Source organism: Homo sapiens, chromosome 12, assembly GCF_000001405.40.
Source record: "Homo sapiens chromosome 12, GRCh38.p14 Primary Assembly".
In the NCBI taxonomy this organism is placed as follows: Eukaryota; Metazoa; Chordata; class Mammalia; order Primates; family Hominidae; genus Homo; species Homo sapiens.
Genome location: NC_000012.12, coordinates 131,714,443 through 131,741,554, shown reverse-complemented (window position 1 = coordinate 131,741,554; position 27,112 = coordinate 131,714,443). Strand labels below are relative to the sequence as shown.

General features: G+C 43.9%; 1 protein-coding gene across 8 annotated transcripts in view, besides 5 other annotated features; it reads right to left on the bottom strand.

Annotated features, from left to right (window-relative positions):
* SFSWAP (splicing factor SWAP) overlaps positions 1-27,112 on the bottom strand; it is an 88,649-nt gene that overhangs the window by 58,184 nt on the left and 3,353 nt on the right. For all 8 annotated transcript variants that reach the window (XM_024449125.1, XM_047429327.1, XM_047429328.1 and 5 more), the window contains 5 exons: positions 26,602-26,733; positions 22,016-22,101; positions 15,925-16,150; positions 14,503-14,615; positions 13,127-13,262 (listed from right to left, as the gene is read on the bottom strand). In XM_024449125.1, coding sequence (XP_024304893.1) covers positions 13,127-13,262; positions 14,503-14,615; positions 15,925-16,150; positions 22,016-22,101; positions 26,602-26,733 — 693 coding nt within the window. The remainder of the gene's footprint in view (positions 1-13,126; positions 13,263-14,502; positions 14,616-15,924; positions 16,151-22,015; positions 22,102-26,601; positions 26,734-27,112) is intronic.
* Positions 3,821-5,020: an enhancer, noted in NCBI's record as "BRD4-independent group 4 enhancer chr12:132221080-132222279 (GRCh37/hg19 assembly coordinates)". NCBI's record gives its function as "activates an origin of replication core promoter dependent on BRD2, P300/CBP, MED14 and CDK7 cofactors, and independent of BRD4, by STARR-seq in HCT116 cells {active_cell/tissue: HCT116}" and the evidence as "EXISTENCE:reporter gene assay evidence [ECO:0000049][PMID:35650434]".
* Positions 8,274-8,942: an enhancer, noted in NCBI's record as "H3K27ac hESC enhancer chr12:132217158-132217826 (GRCh37/hg19 assembly coordinates)". NCBI's record gives its function as "activates a minimal SCP1, AML or CMV promoter by ChIP-STARR-seq in naive and primed H9 embryonic stem cells {active_cell/tissue: H9 hESC(naive and primed)}" and the evidence as "EXISTENCE:reporter gene assay evidence [ECO:0000049][PMID:30033119]".
* Positions 8,943-9,612: an enhancer, noted in NCBI's record as "H3K27ac hESC enhancer chr12:132216488-132217157 (GRCh37/hg19 assembly coordinates)". NCBI's record gives its function as "activates a minimal SCP1, AML or CMV promoter by ChIP-STARR-seq in naive H9 embryonic stem cells {active_cell/tissue: H9 hESC(naive)}" and the evidence as "EXISTENCE:reporter gene assay evidence [ECO:0000049][PMID:30033119]".
* Positions 12,263-12,827: an enhancer, noted in NCBI's record as "H3K27ac-H3K4me1 hESC enhancer chr12:132213273-132213837 (GRCh37/hg19 assembly coordinates)". NCBI's record gives its function as "activates a minimal SCP1, AML or CMV promoter by ChIP-STARR-seq in naive H9 embryonic stem cells {active_cell/tissue: H9 hESC(naive)}" and the evidence as "EXISTENCE:reporter gene assay evidence [ECO:0000049][PMID:30033119]".
* Positions 19,949-21,148: an enhancer, noted in NCBI's record as "MED14-independent group 3 enhancer chr12:132204952-132206151 (GRCh37/hg19 assembly coordinates)". NCBI's record gives its function as "activates an origin of replication core promoter dependent on BRD2, BRD4, P300/CBP and CDK7 cofactors, and independent of MED14, by STARR-seq in HCT116 cells {active_cell/tissue: HCT116}" and the evidence as "EXISTENCE:reporter gene assay evidence [ECO:0000049][PMID:35650434]".

Below are 27,112 nucleotides of genomic sequence, written 5' to 3'. Positions count from 1 at the left end.
GCCAACCCCCACACCTCACTCTCCCCAGCAGCTGGGACCACAGGTGTGCGCCATTATGGTCACTTAATTTTCTTAATTTTTTTTGTAGAGACAGTCTCACTATGTTGCCCAGCCTGGTCTTGACCTCCTGAGCTCAAGAGATCCACCCACCTTGGCCTCCCAAAGTGCTGGGACTACAGGTGTGAGCCACCATGGCTGGCCTGGTTTTTACATTTTTAAATGGTTGAAAAAATACAAACAAACAAAATAATATTTTATGACATCAAAATTGTATGAAATTAAAACCCTAGGCTGGGCACGGTGGCTTGCGCCTGTAATCCCAGCACTTTGAGGGGCCGAGGCAGGTGGATCACGAGGTCAGGAGTTCCCAGCCTGGCCAAGATGGTGAAACCCTGTCTCTACTAAAAATACAAAAATTAGCCAAGCGTGGTGTCGGACGCCTGTAATCCCAGCTACTCGAGAGGCTGAGGCAGAGAATTGCTTGAACCCAGGAGGTGGAGGTTGCAGTAAGCTGAGATCGTGCCACTGCACTCCAGCTTAGGCAACAGAGTGAGACTCTATCTCAAAAAAAAAAAAAAAAAAAAAAAAGAAAAAAAAGAAAAAAAAAGAAATGAAAAGCCTCGTATCCATCAATTAAGCTTTAGTGAAGCCCTGCCACACTCATGGGTCTACAACCATCTGCAGCTGCCTCCACACCCCAGGGACAGAGCAGGGGCTGCATAGAGGCTGGGCAGCTGCAGGGCTGAAGACATGCACCTTTATATAGAAAGGCTGTGGGGCCCTGCTGTAAAGCTTAGAAAACCAGCCAAGGATCCAAACAATACCACTGCAAAACCAATGGAATTTAAACTACAAGGAATAAATAGACATGGCTGAAAAAAGTCGCTGACAGGGAAGATGGACACAGTCCTGCTGAGTGCCAAAGAGAAACACAGGGAGCACAGGCTCGAAGAAAGGTGACCCGAACCAAGAGACTGTGTCCTTCAAGCAGAGGCACCAATGCGTGGGACAGGAAAGGTGCTCGAGGCACAACAGAAAAGAACTTCCCAGAAATGAGAACTGAATCTCTGACTGAAAGGTATACAATATAGTCCATGAAAAATGGGCAATTAAGTTAATAAAAGTTAAGGGTAAAGCAAGACTTCCTCAGATGTGTTGGGTCAGAAAGAGCATCCACCTCCCAGGGCAGGTAGGGAAGACAGGGCTGGCCTCGCCCTTTCCACAGCAACGTTCAATTCCACTTCTGAATCCTAGGCAAGCGACTCGGTGCATCGTTCCCTGCAAATTGCTATTTATGTTAAAAGGCAGCTGAGAAAGATTTTCAAGCGTGAAAAAACTCAGAGAGCAGCATAGGAGCAATGAAAGCAAACCAACCAATGAACAAACCCAAATAGGTAGTCATGACCCATCCAGCTACCCCGGGCCACCCTGCAGTGGAAAGGACAGTGTCAGATTCTAGTTCCCAGAGATCTGAGAGGCCCACAGCATTACCCAAGAGTTTTATACCCAGACAAGCCGTCCTGTTCACATAAAGGTCAAAGGCAGGCATTTTTCGACAGGCAGAATTCATGAACTACAGCCCTTGTAAAAACGTACTTGTTTATGAAATTCAAATGATCAAGAAAAGATGAATCGAATAAATAACTCAAAAGGAGAAGCTGTAGGGAAAAAACGAATCCAGTCAACCATAAAACTAAAAGTAAGCAACTGGGGGCTGGGCGCAGTGGCTCATGCCTGTAATCCCAGCACTTTGGGAGGCCAAGGCAGGTGAATCACGAGGTCAGGAGATTGAGACCATCCTGGCTAGTACAGTGAAACCCTGTCTACTAAAAATACAAAAAATTAATCGGGCATGGTGGCGGGCGCCTGTACTCCCAGCTGCTCGGGAGGCTGAGGCAGAAGAATGGCGTGAACCCAGGAGGCAGAGCTTGCAGTGAGCCGAGATTGCGCCACTGCACTCCAGCCTGGGAGACAGAGCAAGACTCCATCCAAAAAAAAAAAAAAAAAAAAAAAAAAAAGCAACTGGGGAATAATAGAATGCAAATACTATTTATAAACTCTCATAATATAAAAATAATATTTCTATACTTTAAAGGAACCAAAGTCATAAATATAGTATATTGACTGTCCTACTCACTCTTAAATATATTTCTATATCAGCATATTCAAATCATTTTAAATGGTTACAAAACTAAGAAGCACTCATATCCTAGCGGTGGCAATGCATATTGACACAATGTTTCAGAAGGCAACTGCTCAGTCACTGGTAATACTTTAAACAAATGCACATACTCTTTGACCTAGCTGTTTATTTTCTAAGATTTTTATCTTGCATATAGAATTATACCACATTAGTGCTTAAAAGTAATAAATAATTGGCAGGGCACAGTGGCTCATGCCTGTAATCCCAGCACTTTGGGAGGCCAAGGTGGGTGGATCACTTGAGCCCAGGAGTTTAACATCAGCCTGGGCAACATAGCAAGACCCTCTAAAAATTTATCTAAAAAGTCAGCCAGGTGTGGTGGCACATGCCTGTGGTCCCAGCTGGTCAGGAGGCTGAGGTGGGAGGATAGCTTGAGGTTGCAGTGAGCCAAGATCACGCTACTGGACTCCAGCCTAGGTGACAGAGCGAGAGACCCTGTCTCAAAAAAAAAAAAAAAAAAAAAAAAGAATAATGTTCATTACAGCACTGGAAAAGTAGAAATAATTGGAAGTCACAAATAATCAAATTATCAATTAATGGAGGGCTGTTTCACAATAAATCTATACAACAGGATACTAGGTAGTTGCTACAGCTAGAAGAGAGAGATACACATGCACTGTTAATACAAAGATGTTCGAGATATATTAAATGCAAAGAAAAAGTTGAATAATTCTAACAAAAATCAGGAAAAATACACAGCTTTAAAAAATATCTACAATGACAACCTCTCAATGTTCTCCTAACCTTTTTTCAGAACTGAATTCTTTAGGCATAAAAGAAACTTTCATCCGAAGTTCGACAGTTACTTCATTTTTAGATTGCAGGCTCTTCTGTTTAAGTAAAATTAAGTTTATTTCCACTTTAACGTAAGTATTTCTAGAGACACATCCAACATTTTAATTGATATTCGTGCATAAAGATGATCTTTGTGTTCCACAGATAACAAGCTTCTTTCTTTCCTTTTTATTTAGCACGATGACCTCAGTGTTTTCCACTTTGCTAATGATGTTCACTAATGGCTATTTCTGGATGGTGGAATCCTGGGTAACATTTTTGCTTTCTTCCTTCTTCTCTTGACATACAATAAAACCATTTTTAAAAATGGGTTTGGAAAGTAAGTAAAGAACTTCAAAGTCATGATGTGCAGGAAAAATATACCATAAACAGCAAAGGCACATTTAAAAAACAGGGATAGAAGCAAGAAAATATCTATAGTAGCCATGCGCAATGGTTTAATTTCACTTCAGATATTTATAGAATATTAAGAAAAACTGAGTTGGCATTTTATTAAAAAAAACCCACAGGCTATCACAGTGGGCAGCATTTCACTATGACTGCCTCCTGCATAATTACTTTTATTTATTTATACTCTTCTATAAGGATTTATAGCTAAATAGCAGAAGACAAGTAATGAAAAATAAAGAGCATGAAAAGTAGTTCATTGTCAGGAAAATTAATAAATGAAATAAATTGTTAGTTTTACACATCTATATTTAATGAGCTTCTAGAAAAATTATTTTATACACATATTTTATATATATATAAAATTCTGCTGGACTTTAAGGAAAAAAATAGATGCTTTTCTTCCCAGGCTGCCAAAATGTAGGAAAATCTCCATCAGTAGGAAGTAAATAAGAAAGAACGACTGAGTATATCCTAAGGTGATTATTAAATACCCAGCGTATGAAAGCCAGAAAAGCTTAGTGACCCAGCAGCCTCCCACGAGACACAGCAGTACTGGGTATGCAAGTCTCTACGGGGGAAAGATGTTACGGGGGCCACTTCCGCCTAAACAAAAACACACTGAGCTGATGAAACAAAATGATAAAAGCACGTATTATTAAAATACAGAGTTGTAAGGAATTAACTCAGGATACCAGTTTAGTCTCAAAATAAGTACCACGTCAATCTGCATGTTTTGAGAGGGTGACGAGTCACGCTGAAAAAATGCAAGCAGCGCAAACGGGCAGGTGAGTCAGCCACTCCTGTCTGCGACCTCGTCCTTCCAGTTCCCCTCTCTGTGCTGGCCACTGGTCCTTCTTACCTGCCCTTTTAGGTGCCGATACAGAAGCACTACAGACACTTCCCTCCCCTTCTGACGTGAACAGACTGCCTCGTGCTGCCCTCCCCTTGAGTCACCTCGCCTCCACCCTCAGGAAGAGCCATTCCGGTGGGTGGCCCTGCAGCGCTCGGGCCCTGGCCCACCCCCAGAGCTCTGCAGCCCACCGCGAGAGCACACCAGAGGGACTCCATTAGTCCTCCACCGAGGATGTGCGTCGCCTCAGTCTTTTGCTACTACTAAAACTGTACTATGATGAGTATCTATGTGGCTATGTTCACCCATATACTAGTAAATGAGAGCAGACATCCTGGGTTGGAGGCACGTGTGTTTTAGACTGATAGACTGCCCGCTGGCCCTCCACAAGTACCACATCGCTGGCACAAATCTACACCCCCACCGACAATAAACGTCTGTCACCTTTTCTCTGCTTGAGTGACAGCTGAAAAATGGCACTCCATTGTAGGTTTTGTCTGCATTTCTTTTATTTAATCTCTATTATTAAGCTACCCAAACTCGCATATACAAAATAACATTCCAACAGCCTAGAAATCTCCGTCTTCTCCTAAGTCTTAGACCTGCACAGTGTTCTGTATGCCTATGAGTGCGCTCCTTTCTACTGTAACACGAAGCCTCACATCCTAACATTCGCTGGAGCTGAGCTGAACCAAAGCGCTGGAGGGGTGTTTACTACGGATTTCAGGTTCTACGGTCGGCGGACACGATGCCTGTGAGCAGGCAGTGAGGGTGAGTCTTTAAAAACCGTATGGGCATTTTTGCCTCTGAATTATTCGCACTGCAGATCTTTTTTCTACTAGACTATCAGAATTTTTTCCTATTTGATTGTAAAAGCTGTTTAGACATACAGGCTTTTTTTTTCCCCTCATTTTTTAAAAAATTAATTGAATATAACTGCTGGCTGAAAATAGATGATTCTTCATTCTGCTGAAGCATCCTTACTTTCCTAAGAATTTCCACAACTGGCATTTACATCTGGAAGTGATTCTGATACTGGGTGAAAGTGAGGCTCTTATGTGATGTTTTCCAAATAGCTCTTTGTGTCTTAGAACACCCCTTCCTGTTAGCTTGGTGTTTCCTTTTCTCCGTCCTTATTTTTATTTGGATCTGTTTTTGGGGACTCATTCATCCCTTCCCACTGCAGGGCCTGTGGATTTCTGTGCTGGTGCCGCCTTGTTTGAAACACTGCAGAAGCTCCCTGGCTGGACTGGTGGCTCCATCTTGCTGTGTTGGCTGGTGCCATGACAAACACCAGGGGAGAAGGCGCGTCTCTTCAGAAGCCTGGGCCTTTTTGCTTTTAACAGTAGAGTCTCTCTTATTTTTTCCAGTTAAACTTACTGTAATTATGTGTTTGATGAAAATTTATGCAAACATAAAATTTGAGTGAGAGATGAGAATTATCATTTCTGTGAAAATGAAGCTGAATACTTTGAGAAGATGGATAAAAAGTCAGCTGCTTTAAAAAGCCATAGAGCAACTCCAGGAGGGAGAAGTAACCATGAAGTCCTTGAAATAATATAAGCCCGGCATCACTTTACAGAAATCCAGACTGGAAGTCAGGGCTCTGCTCGCTGCGTGCAGCTCACGTGAGGACCACAGGACGCCAAGACCAAGGGAACAGCAACAGACGGGCTGGGGCCCAGCATGTGTTCATGGTTTGGGTCCACACACAGCATGTGTAGACCTGTTTTTAACCGCCTATTTTGCTTAAAGCGCCAACTATGAGGCTCGAGACCTTCGATGGCAGTATCACACTTTACGATCTTGTCTTCCCTTTATCATCTGTTTCTCAAACTCTCTCTGGGGTTCACAGGAAACAATGGGAAACCTCCAAAATGTTCCAGAATTAACTGGTGTCCCATTCAGAATACGATAGAGTGCTTCTGTTATTTAAATTAATACCCTAATGGTACAAATGGGAAAACTGAGGCCTAGAGAAGCAAAGCAAAGGGCTCAGAGTCATCCAGCCACAACAAAGCCCAACTGCAAAGGCTGTTCGTCAGAAAGCGCGCATAAATCTTCAGGCGCGGGCGTGTAGGGATGATGCACAGCCCATGGCTACGACGGCTCTCATCGCTGGGGGAGGTTGTGGGGACTTGATTTTTGGGCTTTTCTGTCATTTCCAAGTTTCCCTTGTCCCCCAGACCCAGATACTTGTCACTGCTTTCAGCCAGGAAAGCCTCTCGCCAGCTCTCTGGAGTCCGAGTGCCTGTGGCCACATTGCTCTGCTGCTGCCTCCCACTTTTGTGACTGTGTGGCAACAGCCTGCTGCTAAGGTTACGGTATGAGCGTCACCTTCACGGACAGTCGCTTCCGGCCTGACCTGTCTGTCTCTCGGAGCGGGCCCCCCCTCACTGCCCCACCCCACCCCCATGCGCCATGCCGGCTGAGATGGTATCTGCGGCTGCAGCAGCAGCAGCTCCGTCATGTTCCAATGCCTGCTCCTCAGCATACACGAGCGTACGTAGACGTGCGCACGCAGGGAGAGCTCGTTCATCTCACCTGTCAGTTGGATCCAAGGTACCTGTGCAGGTGACTTCTCCCAGGAAGCACCAGGTGCTTTTGGAACTTCTGCTCTTCACTTTTCTGAAGTTACTCGGTGAATGTTCCTGGGAGCCCCGTGGCCCCTTGGATCGAGGTGCAAGGAGCACGCTGGCTAGTAAGACAGTCCCAGCCTTTGCCTCACAGAGCTCCGGGTCCACAGGGCATTCAAACATGCACAAGCCCACACATGTCTGTGTAACTCAAAACCGTAACAGGCTCTAAAACAGAAGTGTGGTAACACAACAATGCGGCCCCGGCTTACAAGCAGGGAGTGCGTGGGGTGGGCGGCTGCCTCTCTGACCTCCTAGTCACTCTCTTTTTGATCTTAAGTCCTCTTCTCATTTCTCCTGCACATTCATTTTAAGTCCTCTTGGGTAAGATCATGGTTAGCCAAGACATTCATTCTTGTCTTCGTAAGAATCCAAAGTCTGTAACTTTGCTATTCTAAGTTGTGAGGAAAAACGTGAATCCAGTGTGTGGGCCCTGTCCTATGTACGAGCCACACCCAGCCCAACGTCAGCCTTCAAGTCCTCGAGGGCGGCAGGAGCCAGCGATGAACACGCTCTCTGTGCCAGGGGCCACCTGGCGTCCACCACAGCAGAGGCTCTGATGCTTCCCCAGCCTCCGCTGCAGGTGTCACTGTCACCTGAGCTGTTGGGTCTCAGTGCCACAGGGTGGGCACTCACCTAGGACAGAAGAATAGTTCCCAAATGATGGTGGCAAGCCACACACAGGGCACTGACCTGCTCCCATGTGTCACCCTGCCCCAGGGTGGGCTCAGGGCTCCCATGTGTGTGTTTGGGGTCTTGTCTGTATCTAGGAGGTAAGTCATCTGGAGACCACGCCCTGGAGGATGAAGCTGCATGGGGAGTGGAGGGGCAGGTGCCAGGACCCAGGCATGGGAGGGCTGCTGCGCTGCGGCAGGAAGACAAGCCTGAACACACACTCTGCACACCTCGGGGCCCACCCCTGCCTGTCCCCCACCTCACCAAGCCTGTGACTCCAGGGTGGAGTCCTCTGTGCCTGTCCTGAGGGGACTGTATGGACTGCTGTTTCCTTCCGGGCTGTCACAGATGCTGTGACAGGCCTCCTTCTCTCTCCAGGAATACGGCTGCAGTCGGTGAGCCCCCAAGAAACACAGTGAAGAAATCCCCCGAGAACATGGAGCTGCGCCCACCTCCAGCCTTGGCTCCACTGCTCAGAGGCAAGGAGGAAGCCCTGCTCCTGTGGCCCTCTGAGCGGTGGGGCAGTGCAGGCAGCGTCGCTGCCTGGCTCTCAGGATGCATGCCGTGCTTTATGATCGTGAAATTTCCTCCTACAAATGACAAACTGCCGCTCCCTGCAAAGCTGGACTGCAAATCCTAAGACCCTCAATGTGAAAGGCGCCTTATAGGCCTGCCAATCCACCCCTGGCTCAACAGGTCAGGAATGGGAGGAGGAGGAGATGGCAGAGACACACATACGAAAGTTCTCACAGGGCAGGGTGAGGAGCTCCTGACGATACGCACCTGCCCAGTAAGTACCAGGGAGACCGCGCCATCCCCCGCCCGCTCTCATACAGCTGACGTTTCAAGTCCATGGCCAAAATGTCCTTTGTCTTGTCTCTGGTGTCCATGGTTGGCAGTGGTCTGAAACGCGGGCCACAGGGCTCTGGTTTCATTGTGGGGCATGATTCTCTTCATGCTTTAAATCACGCCTCCTCCCTCACATGCAACTCCTCTGTCCTCAGGAAAAGTAACTGGCTGCTGTGGAAGCTGACGTGCTCCAAGGACACTAGCCCCGCCCTTTTCCAGACCCCACGGGGCCCCAGGTTTGCCCCAACTGAGAGTCTCCCAAAATGTTATCAGTAATGTTAGTAATTTTCCAGACAGCTTTCTCTCTAGTATCCTACTAGAGTACTTCCCAAGTGCAAAGCCCACAATTTAAGCCCTCTTCTGAAAATTACTTCAATGCCTCTGACGGTTGTGCCTTCTCTGTAGAAAGCTGGCTGTTTAAGAAACAAAGCTATGCATGCCCAGAGCATGGAAAATCACACATTAGAGATACAGGAATAACAGGCTGTATATGAAACCCCATGGGACAACACTTCCGTGAACACACTGGGTACATTAGGCGGAGACGAGGAGCAAGCCGAGAGCAGCCAAGGGCAGCAGAATCCGCAGACCTGCTTCTCAAGCTCTCCTGAGCAGGGCTGGGTGTGCCCAAGACAGAAAGGGGCCCCTCAAACCTTCCTCTGTGCTGGCTGAAGCAGGAATTTCAAAATAGCCCACCAACCTCATACACTACATTCACAAAGGCTCATCAGACAGAGCCCATGAGTTTAGGTCTTTTCTTGAAGCAACTCAGCGACGTCCTCACAACAGTCTGAGAAGGAACTTCGGGAGATCTGTACAGGCTTGGGCTTGCCACAAACTCAGGCCAAGCCATGGGCTGCTCTTGCCCTCACTGTCCGGCATTGCAAACGTTACAGTTATTCTATGAACTTTGTATTTTACTTTGTTTCTTAAGTATAATAGCAACACGGCTGGGTGCGGTGGCTCAGCCTGTAATCCCAGCACTTTGGGAGGCTGAGGTGGGCGGATCACCTGAGGTCAGGAGTTTGAGACCAGCCTGGCCAACATGGTGAAACCCCGTCTCTACTAAAAATACAAAAATTAGCCAGGCGTGGTGACGAGCGCCTGTGATCCCAGCTACTTGGGAGGCTGAGGCAGGAGACTCGCTTGAACCCAGGAGGTGGAGGCTGCAGTGAGCCGAGATTGCACCACTGCACTCCAGCCTGGGTAACACAGAGAGACTCCGTCTCAAAAAAAAAAAAAAAAAAAAAAAAAAGTAAAATAGTAATGCATACTCAAAAACATCATGAAAATGAAAAAAGTATGCAGAGAAAAAAAATCAACCAAATGCCAATTTGAGAGGTAGCTCTGAGCCTCATAGTATTTTTTGCACAGCTCTCTCCAGTTTATTATTTTAAGCATAGTTGAGATCCCACTGCATTAATACTTTTGGAAACTACATATAATGAACGTAACAATATTATCTTGAACTTTAGCATGACGGAACTCAACCCAAAAACTATGACCAGTGTTCCCTCTATTTGAACTGTATTTGTAAATAAATGCTGTTATCAATGACTGATTACAAACCAATAACCACATAGTAGTCAGTCCATGAATTACAGGCAGTTCCCTAATCATGACCAACCTGGGTAGATCAATGACTGCTGTCTCCACCTGCAACTGCCAACAACCTGCCACACAGGACCCCAAATTCTGCAACAACTTCACTGAAAACCCAGGAAGTGAAGACGAGGTCATGAGGGACTTTCACCCACGAAACTTCAACAGCACACAGAAGCATGAGGCAGGCAGAACAAGGTACTCAAAGGGTAGCAGAGGAAGACGGCAGGCAGGGAGGTGCGTGTGAGTCAGGCGCCCTGGAACCTCTGCAGATTCTGGAATGGCCGCACTGCCCGGGCTTGCGTGGTGCTGGAGGACCCGACGTAACGCCACGCCACAGCCACTCATCCCATAAGGCTGAGCGCCTGAGTACAGGTTTATACTGATTTCTGCTAGGTTTTACAGTGATTTAGAGCCAAAGTTCTAGCTCTTGGCTCTTCTTGGAAACTGGATGAGGACACCTCCCCCACCTTCTGACCCTCCAGATCCAAGATGGGTGGGACTGTGGTGGTGGCCCTGAGTGCTGTGCTCAGCGAGGAGGCTCATAGGAGGGCTCTGACCCCTATGGCTGATGCAGGAGCATATGTCTAAAACCCACAGACCCTAACAGCAGACACGCATGCTTTCACCAGCCCCCAGGCACCCTTACTCTCACATGTGTGTATCCACTACTCTTGCTGTGTCGAGGGGAGACGATGAGTTTCAAAACAACGGCACCGTATTGAGGGGAGGAGAGGGCACCCCCTACTAGAGCCCTTGCAGTTGGGAGGATAGGGTGGGGTGCCGTCAGTGCCCAGGGTGGTGGTAGTCAGGGGCCTGAACAGAGTAAGCTTAGGGTTCCTGCAGAGGCTGTCACGGCTTATCAGTGGTCTCGGGAGCCATCAGCAGGTGGGAAGAAACCAAAGTGTGTGGGCTCTGGCCGCCCTGCGGTGAACCCTTGGGAATGTACCAAGCCTTCTGACCCAGACAGCTCACAATGCCACCCCTGCATGCCTCAGTTCAGATCACATTCCCACCAGACCAGGGGATGCTGTGTGTCACAGAACGGCCACTACCAGCCGGCTCCACCATCCTGCCTGGTCCTGCGGGGTCTGCACATGGCTGTTCTTCCACCAGTGATTAGCACAGCAAATAATCAAGGTCAGCCCGCCCTGAATTTCTAGTCCTCTGCTTTGCAGCAGCTTCAGGGATCTGGTGGACGTGCACGGACAATGCATTTGGTTCAAGCAAACTCAACGACAGGCTTGGAAAAGGAAAGGAGGAAGCAGAGGGATGGTCCCTCAGTGGGCAGGCATCCTGGGCAGAGCACAGCGCCCCATGACTCCAGGGCGGGAGCTTCACAGGCTGCCGAGTGGGGCTCAAGACTTAAAGGTGTGCGGCCGTCTATCCAAAAATCCATGCAGTGAGGACTGGGCGTTAGGAGTGATCTACAGAGCACCTCAGACAGCTGGCTGCCTACACTATTGAACACGCACCTCTGTAGCAGTAGAGCTGACCTCTGATTTGAACATTCAGTGAAATTTGATATGACTTGATTTAATCATTTAAAGACATTCTCAGCTTTAAAAGGTTTTTGGGGGGACACATGCAGAAAGTTCACTCTAGTAACTAGTTTTTTAAAGTCTAAAAACGTTTAGTATGTGCCAGTGCTAAAAGGGAAGTGCAAAGAACACAGCTGTGATGTTTACAAAAGCTTGTCCCAAATAAAGAGGAGCTGATGTTTTAACAATTCATCTCCGGCTGAACTGAAGGAGATAAGCTTTACAAATGGAGTCAGGGTACCAGAGCTGCCTGGGAAGCAGACTCAGCAGGTGGTTCCTCGGCTCTGCTAAAGCTTCCTCATTCCATATTTAACCTCTGAATAAAACAATTACAGAAAGACCTGACGCTGGAACCAACGTCAAACACTTTCAAATGATCTCCTGCATGGACCTTCAAGACTTACCTTTAATGAATACCATAAAAGAACTGCAATCAGCGAGAAAAAGAAATGTAATTTCTCAGTGCATATGTTAACTTATGCTGTAAGCCTCTTTTTCTTTCTTCTTTTTGAGACAGGGTACTGCTCTATCGCCCAGGCTAGAGTGTGGCAGTGCAATCTCAGCTCACTGCAGCCTTAACCTCCTGGGGCTAAGCCATCCTCTCACCTCAGCCTCCCAAGTAGCTCAGACCACAGGCACACCACCATGCCCAGCTAATTTTTTTTTATTTTTTGTCAAGATGCGGTTTTAGTATGTTGTCCAGGCTGGTCTCAAACTCCTGTGCGTAAGTGATCCTCCCACCTCAGCCTCCCAAAGTGTTGGGATTATAGGCATTAGCCACCACGCCTGGCCTGCTGTGAACCTTTTTAAAGAAAGCAACTGTGTTAGACAATACTATGTGTCTCCCATTCTCCCTGTTCTTACCAGCATTTGACTTTGTTTAGGGCAGCAACGTGTTTAACGGAGGCCCCATTGCCTCTGCTGAGTGGGGAGACCATGTGACAGGACACTAGCCACTGAGAGGTAAGGGAAGCCACTAGCTATGGCTTGGGTGGATATTTAAAGAAGGGCAGAGCCAGGGCCAGGAGCAGTGGCTCAAACCTGCAATCCTAGCACTTTTGAAGGCCAAGGCGGGAGGACTGCTTAAGCCCAGGAGCTCGAGACCAGCCTGGGCAACATAGTGAGACCCCATCCCTATCAAAAAATCAAAATTAGCCCAGTGTTATCGTGCTTGTAGTCCCACCTACTAGAGAGACCGAGGTGGGAGGATCGTTTGAGTTTGGGAGGTCAGGCTGCCGTGAACCATGCTTGCATCCCTGCACTCTGGCCTGGGTGACAGAGTGAAACCTCGCCTCAAAAAAAAAAAAAAAAGAAAGAAGGGCAGAGGCAGCCAGCTACCTTTGCCGGTCCTCCTCCTTCCTGGAATGCACAGCTAATGCTGGAGTAGGGCAGCCATCTTGCCAACACTGGGCCAAGCAAAGGGCAGCCTCGTGGCACTCTCCCTTGGGACCATGTGCAGGCTCTGGGCCGCCTGCTTCCATACTTGTTACACTTGGAGGACAGAACACTTGGGGTTTAGAGCCCTGTAGCTGGCTCTGTCACAGGCAGCTGAACACAGGTCAGGACATACACAGTGAGTACTCACAGTCTGCCGTGTACTCCACCTGGGAGGGCTGCACAGGCGCACCGTCTGCGTTGTGTGGGGTGGGAGTGGAACTGTCAGCCTGTGCCTTACGAACAAGTGCTGCGAGGGGATGATCTGGGTCCACTACCTTCAAGGGCTGGAAACAGAGAAGACACAGCCTTAGCATTCAATATTCTGAACCATGCAGAACTCTTCTGCTGCAAAAGGCTCACCTTTAGGACTCAGTGTACATGCCTTAGAAAAAACACACACATGCACGCACCCATGGAGGTCCTAACGAGTTGTGGCCAAATGCCCCAGCTGGCTGTCTCAGAGGAACTGAGTGAACACAGGGTTTCAATTTCCAAAATAACTACCAAGAAAAGGACAGACGAACAACTAAGACTAGTTTGACACCAATTAAAGTGTGAATGTCTAACCCCATGCAAAATTTGAAACTGTCTTTCCTTATAGGAGTTTCTGATTTTTAATCACCAATAGCTTTTCCAGTCCAATCAATCAGCAATCATTCCCACAAAAGGTCACCCACAATGCACAACTGCTGAAAACCAGATGCTTAAATCTAATAGACTCCTGTTTTTTATGTCGCGAATGGCAGAGTGGTGTGAATTAACCACAAGATAATGCTGAGTGGTTTCTTCACACAGATGAGGGGAGAATTAGAAGTGAAAATATTTATTTAAAAACAATCTATGATGGTAACATAGGACTCGAAGATGCATATATTCTGATCACCTATAAAATCCAATCCTATGATGATATCACAACTAAACAATTTTTTTTTCTTTTTGAGTCTCACTCTGTCTCCCAGGCTGGCGTGCAGTAGTGTGATCTTGGCTCACTGCAACCTCCACTTACTAGGTTCAAGCAATTCTCGTGCCTCAGCCTCCCGAGTAGCTGGAACTACAGGTGTACCCACCACGCCTGGCTAATTTTTGTATTTTTAGTAGTGATAGGGTTTCGCCATGCTGGCCAGCTGGTCTTGAACTCCTGATGTCAGGTGATCCACCTGCCTCAGCCTCCCAAAGTGCTAGGATTACATGTGTAAGCCACCACACCCGCACAACAAAACAATTTTCAAGTCTTAACCAACACTCTACTTGGAACTCTAAATATCTCAAAGGAGTAAAATTGTAATAAAATGGTAAAATTATCCTGAGCAAATGCTCACGAATTTTATAAGCTAGACAGGTAAGAAACCAAAGAAGCAGATGCTTTGTCACCCAGCTAAAAACAAAAATGCAAATACACCTCAATGATGATAAAATAAGATACAACTGTAACACACAAGAATGACATGCTTCAAATTTTCCAAAATTACATTAGCAGAAGTTTTGTGGTGGCATAAAAATATAGTTCAACAATGAGATAAAAACCTTCATCAGCTCTTCAAGGCGGTTACACTTCTTGGAGGCAAAGAGAGAGGGATGAAGGTAATTCCCATCTTCTTCATCATCATCATCTTCATTGTCAGAGCTGACTCCTGATTCTGAAATCAAAATCACATTTCAAGATTTTGGTGTTTGGTGAGAAAAAAAGTACAAATTAATTATGCAAAAACTTAGAAGCAGCCAAGTTATCTTGGTTATCTGTCGAAAAAACACTTTTAGAAATTTCTCCCTAGAGTCACCCAAGTTGTCCAGAAGAAGGCCAGATAAAAAGGATTGCGACCTTTGCCCATTTGGTGACTCCTTGCCAGCATCGAGCACCAGCTGGTCTGGGGCTCTGTATGCTTTCTTTCTCTCTGCCTTTTTTTTCCTTTTTTTAAAAAAGGGCAAAAATTGTACTGATTTATGAAAAGCAAAATAATAGCAACAGAAATAAACAACTACAACAAAACTGAAGATGAGATCTGCATTAAGATTTACACAACTGATTTGAAACTTATTTTGGCTGAAGAGAACAGAATTCAGTGGAAGGGCCGGGCACAGTGGCTCACGCCTGTAATCCCAGCACTCTGGGAGGCCGAGGCGGGTGGATCACCTGAGGTCAGGAGTTTGAGACCAGCCTGGCCAACATGGTGAAACCTTGTCTCTACTAAAAATACAAAAATTAGCCGGGCGTGGTGGCACGTGCCCACGATCCCAGCTACTCGGGAGGCTGAGGCATGAGAATTGCTTGAACCCGGGAGGCGGAGGTTGCAGTAAGCCAAGATCGCGCTCACGCCATTGCACTCCAGCCTGGGCGACAAGAGCGAGACTCTGTCGCCAATTAAAAAAAAAAAAATTCAATGGAAGATGTGTGTGTGTGTGTATATATATACATATATATGAATAGACTTGTCAAAATACCATCTTTATTCAAAATACAGCTAACTGGCTTTGGCAGTAAGAACTCCAAAATAGAGACACTGTTATAAAAATAATAGCTTAAAATAGATAATCCAAGTAAAATTTTCACTTTTGTGGCCATGTATAATTGAGCTATACAGCCCTGAACACTGTGGTACTTGAATAATCCAAGAGAGGATATATAACTGTTTTCTCTATGAAATGTTAAGTGGGCAAAATGAGGGCAAAAATTTCCCACCCAGATGATTATGTTCTGACAGCATCAATATTTAGTTATATTTCATTTATCTATAAAATATTAACCAAAGATTTAATAAAGGTGCACCAGCAGGGGTAACGATCACGCCTTAGCTGCAGGATTTCAGACACATTCTAGAAATTCGAGTCTGGCTTTCAACCATGCATCTGTAAGAATGTGTATCTTCACACTTTTCCCAGAACCACCCAGCCTGCCGCCCCCACAACACAGGCCCAAAGTCTGGACGGAACAGACGCAGTGGGACCTACTTTTTTTCTCGTCACTTTTGTTTTCTGCCAGGACAGTGTAGCGTCCCTCTTTCATGGCTTTCTGGATGAACTTATAGTAGGGGTTGAGGTAGTGGTCGAAGCGCAGAAAGTCAAACTGGGAGTTCCGGGCCTGCTTGGCCTTCAGCATGATCTCAAACTGTGCTCCCTGCCTGCACACGAAGCTGGCCGTGCGCTCGATGATGGCGTGCATTTTAGCGGTTGGTGGCTACGGGAAAACACACATATTCACGTCACCCATTTGTCCTCTTGTCCACCGGCCACGTGATTTCATTAAAACATAGAAATGACTCTGGTTTTACTGTCAATTTTAAGAGATACGAGACTTTAAGCTGGAAGAGCCCAGGCTGTTCGGACTCCTCATCTCCAAATCTTGACAGGATTTTGCAGGGGAGAAAGCTCGCCAGCTGAGGCAGGCCACTCCACCATGGTACAGACCCATGGGAGGTGACTTCTTTGTGCACCAAGTCAACATTTTTCTATATATTTAAGTTCAGCTCTATGATGGAATTCAGGGGGTTTGTGAATCCTCTGTGCATGTGAATTTTACAAACAAGCACTTTTCTAGGGAGAGGGTATACATTCCATGGTTCTCAATAACCAGAATCACTGCTCTTTCCTTCTTCTTAGCGGGGACTAGGTTTCACAGCTTGGAGGCTCCCTCTTACAAAACAGCCCTTCTGGACATCCAACAAAAGCCACAAGAGTACGCCATGTCTTTTCTTCTGCACCTGAGCCCTGCTCCCCAGCCCCTGCACAGTTCCTGGCTCACTGCCATTCCCACTTAAAAGCAGTATCCCAAGCTGAAGACCACCTAGGTGTGGTCTGGCCAGAGCAGATGGGACACTCCAGGTGAGTTTCTTCCCAGCATCAAAGCCCTCCCCCATCCCTTCATGTGCTGCTAAGGAGTCACTTCAACGAACCTCATGCTCTTAGCATTTCCTGCCCACAAATGGATCTTGTTAGACCAAAGGCTGAAAGCCACACATCTAAAATACCTTTCATATCAACAAAGAGATTAACACTAGGAAATTATTTGCAAATAAATCTGGCAATTATTCTCATTAAAAATGGATGGTTAAGAATTCAGGGCTTCATCCTTCATAAAATATAAATGGCTTAATTCTCTAATTTAATTTTTGAACTAATAACATCCTTCACACTTAAAAAGGATAGATGTCTACAATTATTCATTAATCCCCAAATAATTTAAATTCCATGTTAAAGGCCCACTGTATGCATGTCCACGACTTGGATTTTCAGGGGCTCTGGTTATTCATTGTTAAAACAGAATATTCCATAAACACATCAATAATTAATGATCACTTCATAGTAATGACCCTTAAAGGAAAATATGATACTGGCCCAGTTTAGGCTTTCTTTATTGACCAAACCAACTTGTTGATCCAAAATTTCTTAAAAGTAGGCCTATTTGTTATATACTACTTCTATTACCATGGTTAAAAAGCAATGTGTAAGTAATTTTACAAAAAAACAAAGCATCTTACGGACATATTTCAAGGTTGGCTACCAACCCTGAATAAGATTAAAAAGTATCTGGTTTGGAAAAAGCCATTCTTTACTTTATTAGGCAGACTTTAGGTAAATCATTTTCCATTTAAGAATATCATGATCACTCCTACTACACAATGAGATTTAAAAAATACAGTCAACATATAAATATGCATATGTTACAATGGCCTAAGAAAAGGAAAACTGTTTTTCTAATTTAAATCCAGTGGGGAAGCCTTTTGTTTAAGGAAGCCGACAGAGCCCCGGAAGGGGGCTAACACCTCCTCCCCTTCCCTGGAAATTCCATTAATGTGAATTTAAGCTCCAGAGGAGGCATGGGAAACAGGAGAAAGGTATCTACAGGTCAGAAAACCCACACAAATGCACGGTTTCCTAAGAGCTTTGGAAAAGGCTTGAGCTCAGACCCATCGGGGGACCAGGAAGGAGGTGGCATGACATGAAGAGGGGAAATTAGCAAGGAACCCCAGGGGCAGTGGGGCCAGCCCTCTCCTCACGGGGTTAGGGGAGAAAAAAAATCAAATACCTGCTTTGCCCAGAGCCCTAAGTAAGTATCAGATTGAGTCAAAATTCAAAGGCAAAAATACAAATACAGAAGTACCAGCAGTAAATATAGGAAAATATTTTCAAACTCTTGTGGGTGGGAAGCCTTCCAAAATAAGCTTTAAAATTCTGAAGCCATAAGGAATAGAGGGACATATATCACTCTATACTTAAATTCTGCACAGAGAGTCGTACAATCACTTAGAAAACAAAGTGCGGGGAGAAAATACCTGCAAGACACATTGGGGACCAAGAGTTAAGGCTCATTAGACGTCAAGAGTCCTTACGAATCTGAACAAAAGGCCAGTCACTCCACAGTAATTCAAGAATAAATCAACATTTTTTCCCTCCCCACCCACCTTCTGTGACAATACAGTACCTAAATTATGATGAAATAATGCTCTAATCTGCACAAATTCGATAAAGCTTAACTTTAGTGGTTCAGAGCTCTGGAGTCGGTCCCTTGGCTAGAACCCCAGGCCTGACCCTCACACATGTAACTTAGGGCAGTTACTCTTAACTTTCTAAACTTTAACATCTGGCAACAACTGTATTTGCTTCATAGAGTTATTTTTGTATTTTTATTTTTTTGAGACAGGATCTGGCTCTGTTGTCTAGGCTGGAGTGCAGCAGTACCGTATTAGCTCACTACAACCTCCACCTCCAGGGCTCAAACCATCCTCCCGCCTTGGCCTCCTGAGTAGCTGAGACTACAGGCATGTACCACCACGCCTGGCTAATTTTTTTCATTTTTTGTAGAGGCGGAGTTTCACCATGTTGCCCAGGCTGGTCTTGAACTCCTGGGCTCAAGCGATTCTCCCACCTCGGCCTCCCAAAGTGCTGGGATCACAGACATGAGCCGCTGCACCTGGCCTGTAAAATTATTTTGAGTATTAACTGAGAGATATGCCTAGAGAAGCACTTAGTACACTGTCTGGTACACAGTAAGTGCTTCATAAAGGCTGGTTCTATGTTATTATTCATCAACAGAATAAGCGTTGCACACAACAGCAACTATCGAATCCTTCCCCACTTTCCATAAAATGTGTTCGAGCAAGCACATTTCCCTTGGAACTGCGCCCTAACAGGTCTGGGACTACAGGCACGTGCCACCACACTGGCCTATTATTTTTACTTGTTTGTAGAGACAGGATCTCACTATGTTGCCCAGGCTAGTCTTGAACTCCTGGCCTCAAGTGATCCTCCAACCTTAGTCTCCCAAAGAGCTGGGATTACAGGTGTGAGCCACTGTACCCAGCCTGGGGTGCTGTAATTTCTAACTACTTCTTACTCTTCATCCAAAAGCCTCAAGGATCCTGTCATCATTAGGTTCTAAACCAACAGTTAGTTTAAAAACCAAGAACCTCCTGAAGTACCTGCTGTCTTTCCCAATCACTCCAATCTTCTCTTGTCAGTGAGTCAAACCATGTCCTGCCCCCTTAAGCAGCAATAGTCTACTTAACCACAATTCAACAATTCTGAGGCCTAGTCACTAAAACAACTTATAATGCAGACACTTCTGTCTTCTACATTTTCTCCACTAACATGGACACCACGGTGTATAATTTACACAATGAATTACTGCCAAAAAACACATAATAATTATGAGAATGAAATACTGACACTGCCATAAAATAAATGAAAGACGCAAATGAGAGACTCAATCAAGCACTCAGTTTCCACAAAGTCAAAACAACATTCAAGAGGCCTTTCTATAATATCATTAGAAGAAACTCTAATGATAAGACAGCAAGTTGCTACACACTAAGACTTACTTTGCTCTCCAATGAGTGACAAGTATGTTTGATCTGGCAGACTATCAAGAGCTTAGTGATGCTTATTTTGGCTGAGAACACAAAGCCATTAAATATTTTAATAGGAATTAAGGCAACACAATTCCATTGTACCTCTATATTTAAATTTGAATAAAAAATTAAAAAATTTTTAACACTAAAAACAAGTAAAATTCCATATAGTCAACTTCATATAAACTTTTTAGCATTAAATAGAGATGGAGCACTTAGCATTTAATAAAAATGGAGCAACTGTGATTTTTTAAAGCTTCATGTTAATGTGTCTCTCATGCATAATAAACATATTTCAGAACAAATAGGAATACAATATATATAATACATGGAAAATATATTAATACAAGTCTCAGGATATCAAATCTTTGGGTAATTTCAGCTTTAACTACAGCAAAATGATCAATACTAGAAATGGAGAAACAAACATATGTAGTAATATAGTTTGGATCAGTTTGGATCTGTGTCCCCAGCCAAATCTCCTGTAGAATTGTCATTCCCAATGTTGGAGGCAGTGCCTGGTGGGAGGTGAATGAATCATGGGGTGGATCCTTCATGAATAGTTTCGCACCATCTCCTCGGTGCTGCTCCCGTGATAGACAGTGAATGAGCTGTCGTAAGATCTGGTCATTTGAAAGTGTGTAGCACCTCCCTGCCTTCCTCCTGCTCTGGACATGCTTAGACATGCCTGCTCCCTCCTCACCTTCCGCCATGACTATAAGTTTCCTGAGGCCTCCCCAGAAGCAGATGCTGCCCGGCTTCCTGTACAGCCTGCAGAATCGTGAGCCAATTAAACCTCTTCTTTATAAATTACCCAGTCTCAGGTATTTTTTTATAGCTGTGTGAGAACAGACCAATACAAGTAGTAATTATACTAGGCAAAATCCAAAAAGTTATTTTACCCATATTTGAAAGAATAAAAGAGAGGGAGAGGATATGTAAATGAATAAGGGAAGAGAAGGAAAGCGTTGGAGGCAGGAATTAAAAGGGCTATTTTTATATTGCCCTTCATCAGATTAATGAAGGGTAAGAACCATCAAATTCACGCTGAACTCAATTAGAGTGGCAGCGAGTGATCGCAGTGGGAGGTGAGAGATGCTCTCTCTGTGCGGAGCTTTCCCGGCATCTACCATGCAGTGAGTGATTCAGGATGTGGGACACAAACAAGAATTGAGAATGCCTGCATCGATGCCACTTGCAATCCAGTTACGAAAATGTCCAAGAAAAAACTTCCTGCTAGGCACGAACACTTAAGAGTCCTTCCCAAGTATACACACACAACAAAAAGATTTTCAACCTTCCCAGTAAACATATAAAAATCCCATAAAGCACGGTGACTGAAGATGGCATCATAGTTAAGACCAACGTTCCCAGTTGCTATTTATTAGCCAAATTCTTGACTTTCCTAAGTCTCAGTTTCTTCACTGGCACAAGAGGGATAGTAAACAGTAGTTCGCTTATAGGGTTGTTAGCATTAAATAAGATAATATGTAAAAAACAGCTTAGCACAGTGACTGGAATGGGGAAATCCCTCAATGAATATTCAGAAAAAAAGGAAAAATCCTGGTTTGGGCTTTAACACCTGTTATAACTTAATTTAATGTGATATAACTGAAATAGCAGGAAAGGTCAATGCTGAACAGACAGTAACCAGTTGCAAAGCCCTCAGATGAGGAAAACCAGGGTGGAATTCCCCTTCATCAGTGGAAGGGTGGCCTGGGCCTGGAGATGCCACAGGGACCTATCACAACACAGAAAACTGCTAAGAAAATGTAACGTGAAGTGACCCCAAAAATCACACTTTAAAAAGCCAGAACAAAGCAACGTTACTGAAATCAACGCTGTCTTGATCTTGAGTGCTTTTACATCTATGTGTGGGGAGCAGCCCACTCGCCACTGATCCTGATTTAGTTTTTCTAAGCTAGTAAAATCTGGGGATTCAACTACATGGCCGCTGAATCACACCCAACTCCTCAAGTCCCTGATGCTCCAGTCTAGCTCTTTTGCTATAATTCTTCCCTTTTCCTTTGGGGAAAATAAATAGGGTGTGATCTTTTTCTCCATTAACTCACAAACCATTTTAAAGCATTATATGCCTAAAAAGCAGCTATAATCATTATTGAGCTTTCCCACAAGCAGGAGTGAATTATGATAAATAATAATGACGACAACTAGTGCTCATGCAGGACACATACCAACTCCACGTCAGACGGGACGCTCAATCCTAAGGGGGCAACGAAGGGCTCTTCATTTTCCTCTAAATTTTCGGCCTCATTTTTTTCTGCATAAAAAGAAAATTAAAAAATTCAGAACAATGCAGGGAGGAAGGCACCTGCTAACAGCAGGCAGCAAGATGGAAGCATGTGACTGGCTGTCCCTGCTTCTTTACCTTCTGTTGTTACTCCTAGAAGCCATCTTCAGCTTTCTCTTCTACCCACAACGCAAGTGAAACTCACTTTACAAAATTCCAAATGAGGTGGGGTGGTGGGGGGAGGTGGGGTGCAGCAGAAGGAGTGTGTATAGGGTCAGACTGCACGGTATTCCCTTGGTATACGCAGGGGACTGGTTCTAGGACCCTTGCAGACACCAATATCCACACGTGCTCGAATTCTGCATTTGGTCCATTTGAACCCACATATATAAAGAAGCTGACCCTCCATATATGCGGGTCTCACATCCCTCAATCTGATCAGTGTTTGGCTGAAAAAAATCCTCATACAAGCGGACCTACGCAATTCAAACCTGTGTTGTTCAAGGGTTAACTGTAGTTAAACTCCTGCCCTGCCGCTTGTTAGCTCCGGGATTCTGCTGTTCTCTGTTTCCTCACTGGTTGTGAAGTCATCACATCCACTCCCAGGGCCAAGTGGGGCTTAGGTGAGATAGCCCATGTGAACATCTCTACCATAATCCTCCACACTTAGCAGGTGCTCAATCCATGTTCCTTTTCCCCTCCGCTGCTCTTTCAGGTATGTATGTATTTAATTGGTATCGCTAAGATTTCTCTCCAACTATTTCTGTGGATTCCTGACAGCATGACACTACATAAGGTAGTCAATTCCTAGATAACTGATTTTCATCTTTGAATTGTAAACCACCTGGGCATAACTATCAAGATTCCTCCACCCAAGCAAACTACCTCTTTCACAAATAATCAATTATTTTTCCATTTCTATGTATTCATTAACCATTCACTTAACAAATACTTGTCTACTATGTGGTAGACAACGTACTACACATTATCTTTCTGTATTCTAAGGTACCTAAGTACATCTCAGTAACTCAGATGATTACCAGTTTAAAAAGACACACTGAAATGTACAAAAATATCATAGCAAACTTTAAAAAGGTAACATTTTTAAGGATTTCAATGATCTATTGAGGTTCTTATTTCCAAACAGATGACATTAAAGAAACAAACCTTAAATCTTCATCAAAATAAGTGTTTCTATCATATACAGTAAAGGCTCTTGAAGCGATCAATAATTTGCAAAGATCTCCTGTCAAACCTCATTCCGTGAAACCAAAGAAGAATTTTAAGCAGGTTTCCTGGTATACAAAAACTTGGGTATTCCAGTCTGATCAGATATAAGTTGATTACAATCCCTATTAAGTTACAGTTATTTAACACCGTCCCATCCATTTGTTTGAGTCCCCTGTTCTTTCAAAAATCAGAGATGAAGCCGGGCTCAGTGGCTCACACCTGTAACCGGGTGTGGTGGCTCACGCCTGGAATCCCAGCACTTTGGGAGGCCGAGGCAGGCGGATCACTTGAGGTCAGGAGTTTGAGACCAGTCTGGCCAACATGGTGAAATCCTGTCTCCATTAAAAATAGAAAAATTAGCCAGTTGTGGTGGCGGGCGCCTGTAATCCCAGCTATTTGGGAGGCTAAAGCACAAGAATTGCTTGAACCCGGGAGGTGGAGGTTGCAGTGAGCTGACACCGCACCACTGCATTCCAGCCTGGGTGACAGAGCGAGACTCTGTCTCAAAAAAGTAAAACAAAGTAAATTTAAAAATACAACTTTTACTATATTTTCCTAAAATGAAAAAAATGATTAAAACATTGTCTAGGCAAATAGCTTCTCCTTAATGTTAAGTTATTCATAAAAATCAAGGCATTTTAATTGAAATAGCTTTTTGGGATTGATGGGTTAAACAGATTTGGTCTATTCTTATATATACCTTTATTTACAAAAAAACAGCTTTAGTAGCACAAAATAAAAACCAACCATTGCACTACAAACTCAGATTTAAATAAATTCAAATAACCTTTTGTTTAAAAAATGGATATATAGCAGTGAGGGCCTGTCCCCGCCCCATTATTCCCCTAAAAAAGAGGGAAAAAAATGGATATAGAATAATGATGAAAAATTATGAACATCTAAAGGATAAAAACTTGACTGAAAATAGTAAAGATCAGAGATGGAGGCACCATCAAAATGCTTTTGGCTAGTATCACAAGGCTTTAAAATACTAACAAACAATACAATACAGTAATTTTGAAAATCAAGACATACGTAGACATATTGATGGCTCAGGAAAAAAAATTTTATTTTAACAGAATGTGACGCTCAATGGGGCTGTTAGTGGTACTGGATTCTATTACAATATGCACGTATGTGTGTGTGTGTGTTAGGTGTTTCACTTATATTAATGCAAGTTAAACACGAAATGTCAAGCTCTAAGTTTTATGTGGGCCCAATTTCCATTAACGAAATTAATCAGTATATAAGGCAATGTTCTGAGAACACGATTACAGAAAGAAAAGAAGTAACATTGTAAAATACTAAAGAGAACTTTATCTTAAGGGGAAAGCAAACTAATACTCAGATGATAAGCTAAGTCATGCTGAAGTTCTCAAGATTCAATAATTATAACAAACTGAACATCATTTAGCCCAATAATTACGCCGAGACAATGGTCCATCATCTAGAATAGGGGCTGACAAACTCTATAAAATGCCAGACAGTATTAATAAATATTTCTGGTTTTGTGGGCCATATGGTGTTTCATTTCTTCAACTCTGTTGCTGAAGTGCGAAAGTGGCAACAGACAATATGTAAACAAATGAGCATTGCTGTGTTCCAATAAAACTTTGTTATTTTCTTTCCAATACTTTAGATCTGTGGTTGGTTGAATCCACAGATGTGGACCCAATAAGCTGACTGTATTTCAACTCTTTATTTGTGAAGTGGCTATAGTATCTATTCCTTCCTTCTGATAAAAACACCACAGATAGAAAGCTGAACTCATGTGTGTGGCTTAGAGATAAGACAACAAAATCAGAACTATCCAGAACCCGAGGAAGGAGAGCTTATTCTGGATAAATAAATGGGTGTTTACGTTTTAGACCTGATAGAACATTTCTAGTGCATCGTAACTTCTGAGGGATGGGTAGGTTTGAAAGTCAATGCAAAAAGTCTTAAATACCTTAACTGGCCTTTAACTCAGTATAATTACAATTACACTTGAAAGTTTCTCTAAAAGCTCATAAAATAGAGCTGTGCAACAGTAATTCTTGTGCCCACAAAGTAAGGAGCAGGACTAAAGACAGGGCAAAAGGAAAGCCGGTGTGTGCGTTTGCCCCACGTCCTATCATTCCGTTAGGATCGCAGCCCTTGGAGAGTGCCGATGGGTAGAACCATAGTGCAGTCACAGGATGGAAGGGCAAACATCATTTTGCTTTACTACTAAAGTGCTATAATTGCTTCATACTTGTTAAAAGATGTGTCACTTGGCTGGATGTGGTGGCTCATGCCTGTAATCCCAGTGCTTTGGGAGGCCAAGGCAGTAGGATCACTTGAGCTCAGGAGTTTGAGACTAGCTTGGGCAACACAGTGAGACCCCATCTCTTTTTTTAAATTATTGTGTATTTTAATAAAAAAATTTAAAAAGATAAAAAGTGTTACTTAAGGAGAAACCGATGAAGTTCAGAATAACAGATTAAATTAGCTCTACAATTAAATCTCCATTTGATGTAATGTAAACATTTGAATGTTTCTAAGTTAATGTTCTTCTTCTTTTTAAACAGAATATCCTGAATATACTGACCCGTCTTTAAGGTGTCAGGTTCATGTTAGCATTACTGCTAATTAACGACTGACCATGATGCAGCGCTGTGGTAGTGGAGCTCTCGACGCTTAGTGAAGTGATTGAGGATATTTGTGTCTATACTACACGAGCCCAGGTTTTTCAGCAGCACTATTTTTTATATTCAAAGTTTCCCATGTTAATCCAGAAAAGCATAAATTCCAAATCTTTAATTTAAAATACTGTGGTAAGTATATGCCCTAGGTGGCATCAAGGCTACCAGGAAGCTGTGCTGTTTTCTGGGGAGTAGAAACTCCCTCACTGTGTCCTTCCACTGGGCATGTGTCACTGTCTCAGTTGTGGAGGGATATGGGGAAGCAGGTCAGTGAGAGGGCGGTGATGTTAACTTATCCCAGTTAACACCTATTCTTTCACTGCCTCAAGAATGAATCCCTGAGGATATTAATGAACATGTTACCAATCTAGAAACAAATAATCCTGAATGAGTAATTCTGTTACCCGAATCAATGAGAAATAAATAATCCAACGCATTCACTTTCCACCTCCATTAATCATTCTAGTTTTTAACTTCGTTTTACCAAAAGAAGGAATATCACTCCCGTTTTCTCCTGTGGTCATAGTGGTGCTATCATGAGTGCCAGAGATGTGTTCTGCAGACTGGACCACGGTGCATGCAGCCTGTGCGTACACGTGTAGCCCTACACCAGCAGTCCAGGCAGCTCCCCACTCACCTCTCTGTTTGGAAGGCTCCTCCTCCTCCGTCGGCTCTGACGGGTCGTAATAGTCGCTACCGTAAGTGAACCCCACGGCATTGTAGCTCCCATCCTCTGCTAGTGCTTCACTCAATCGCTTGTATTCTTCCTCTTGAATAAAAATGAGAATTTTATCAACAAAAATAGAAAATTACTGAGAAAAACTTTATATATTTCTAAAGTTGTAGCTATCAGTAAAGCATACAACATACTTTTTTCAACCTACTTTTGAGGTAAAATAGTTTTAAAAATTCACACTTTATATCTATCATTATGTACTTTTGTCAGTACATGTTTACCCACAGACAGCTGAATACACGTCTTTTGTGGAAAATTTCTTCCTGCTGAGAAAATTTTGGGATTAAGAACTGTATTAAAGACTGTTACGGCAAAGACAAGAACATCAATTTTATTTATACGATACTGTTAAAGAAGAACAGTTAAAGAGTTTGGTTTTTGTTTTTTTCAAATCCCAGTCTGCCCTCAAAAG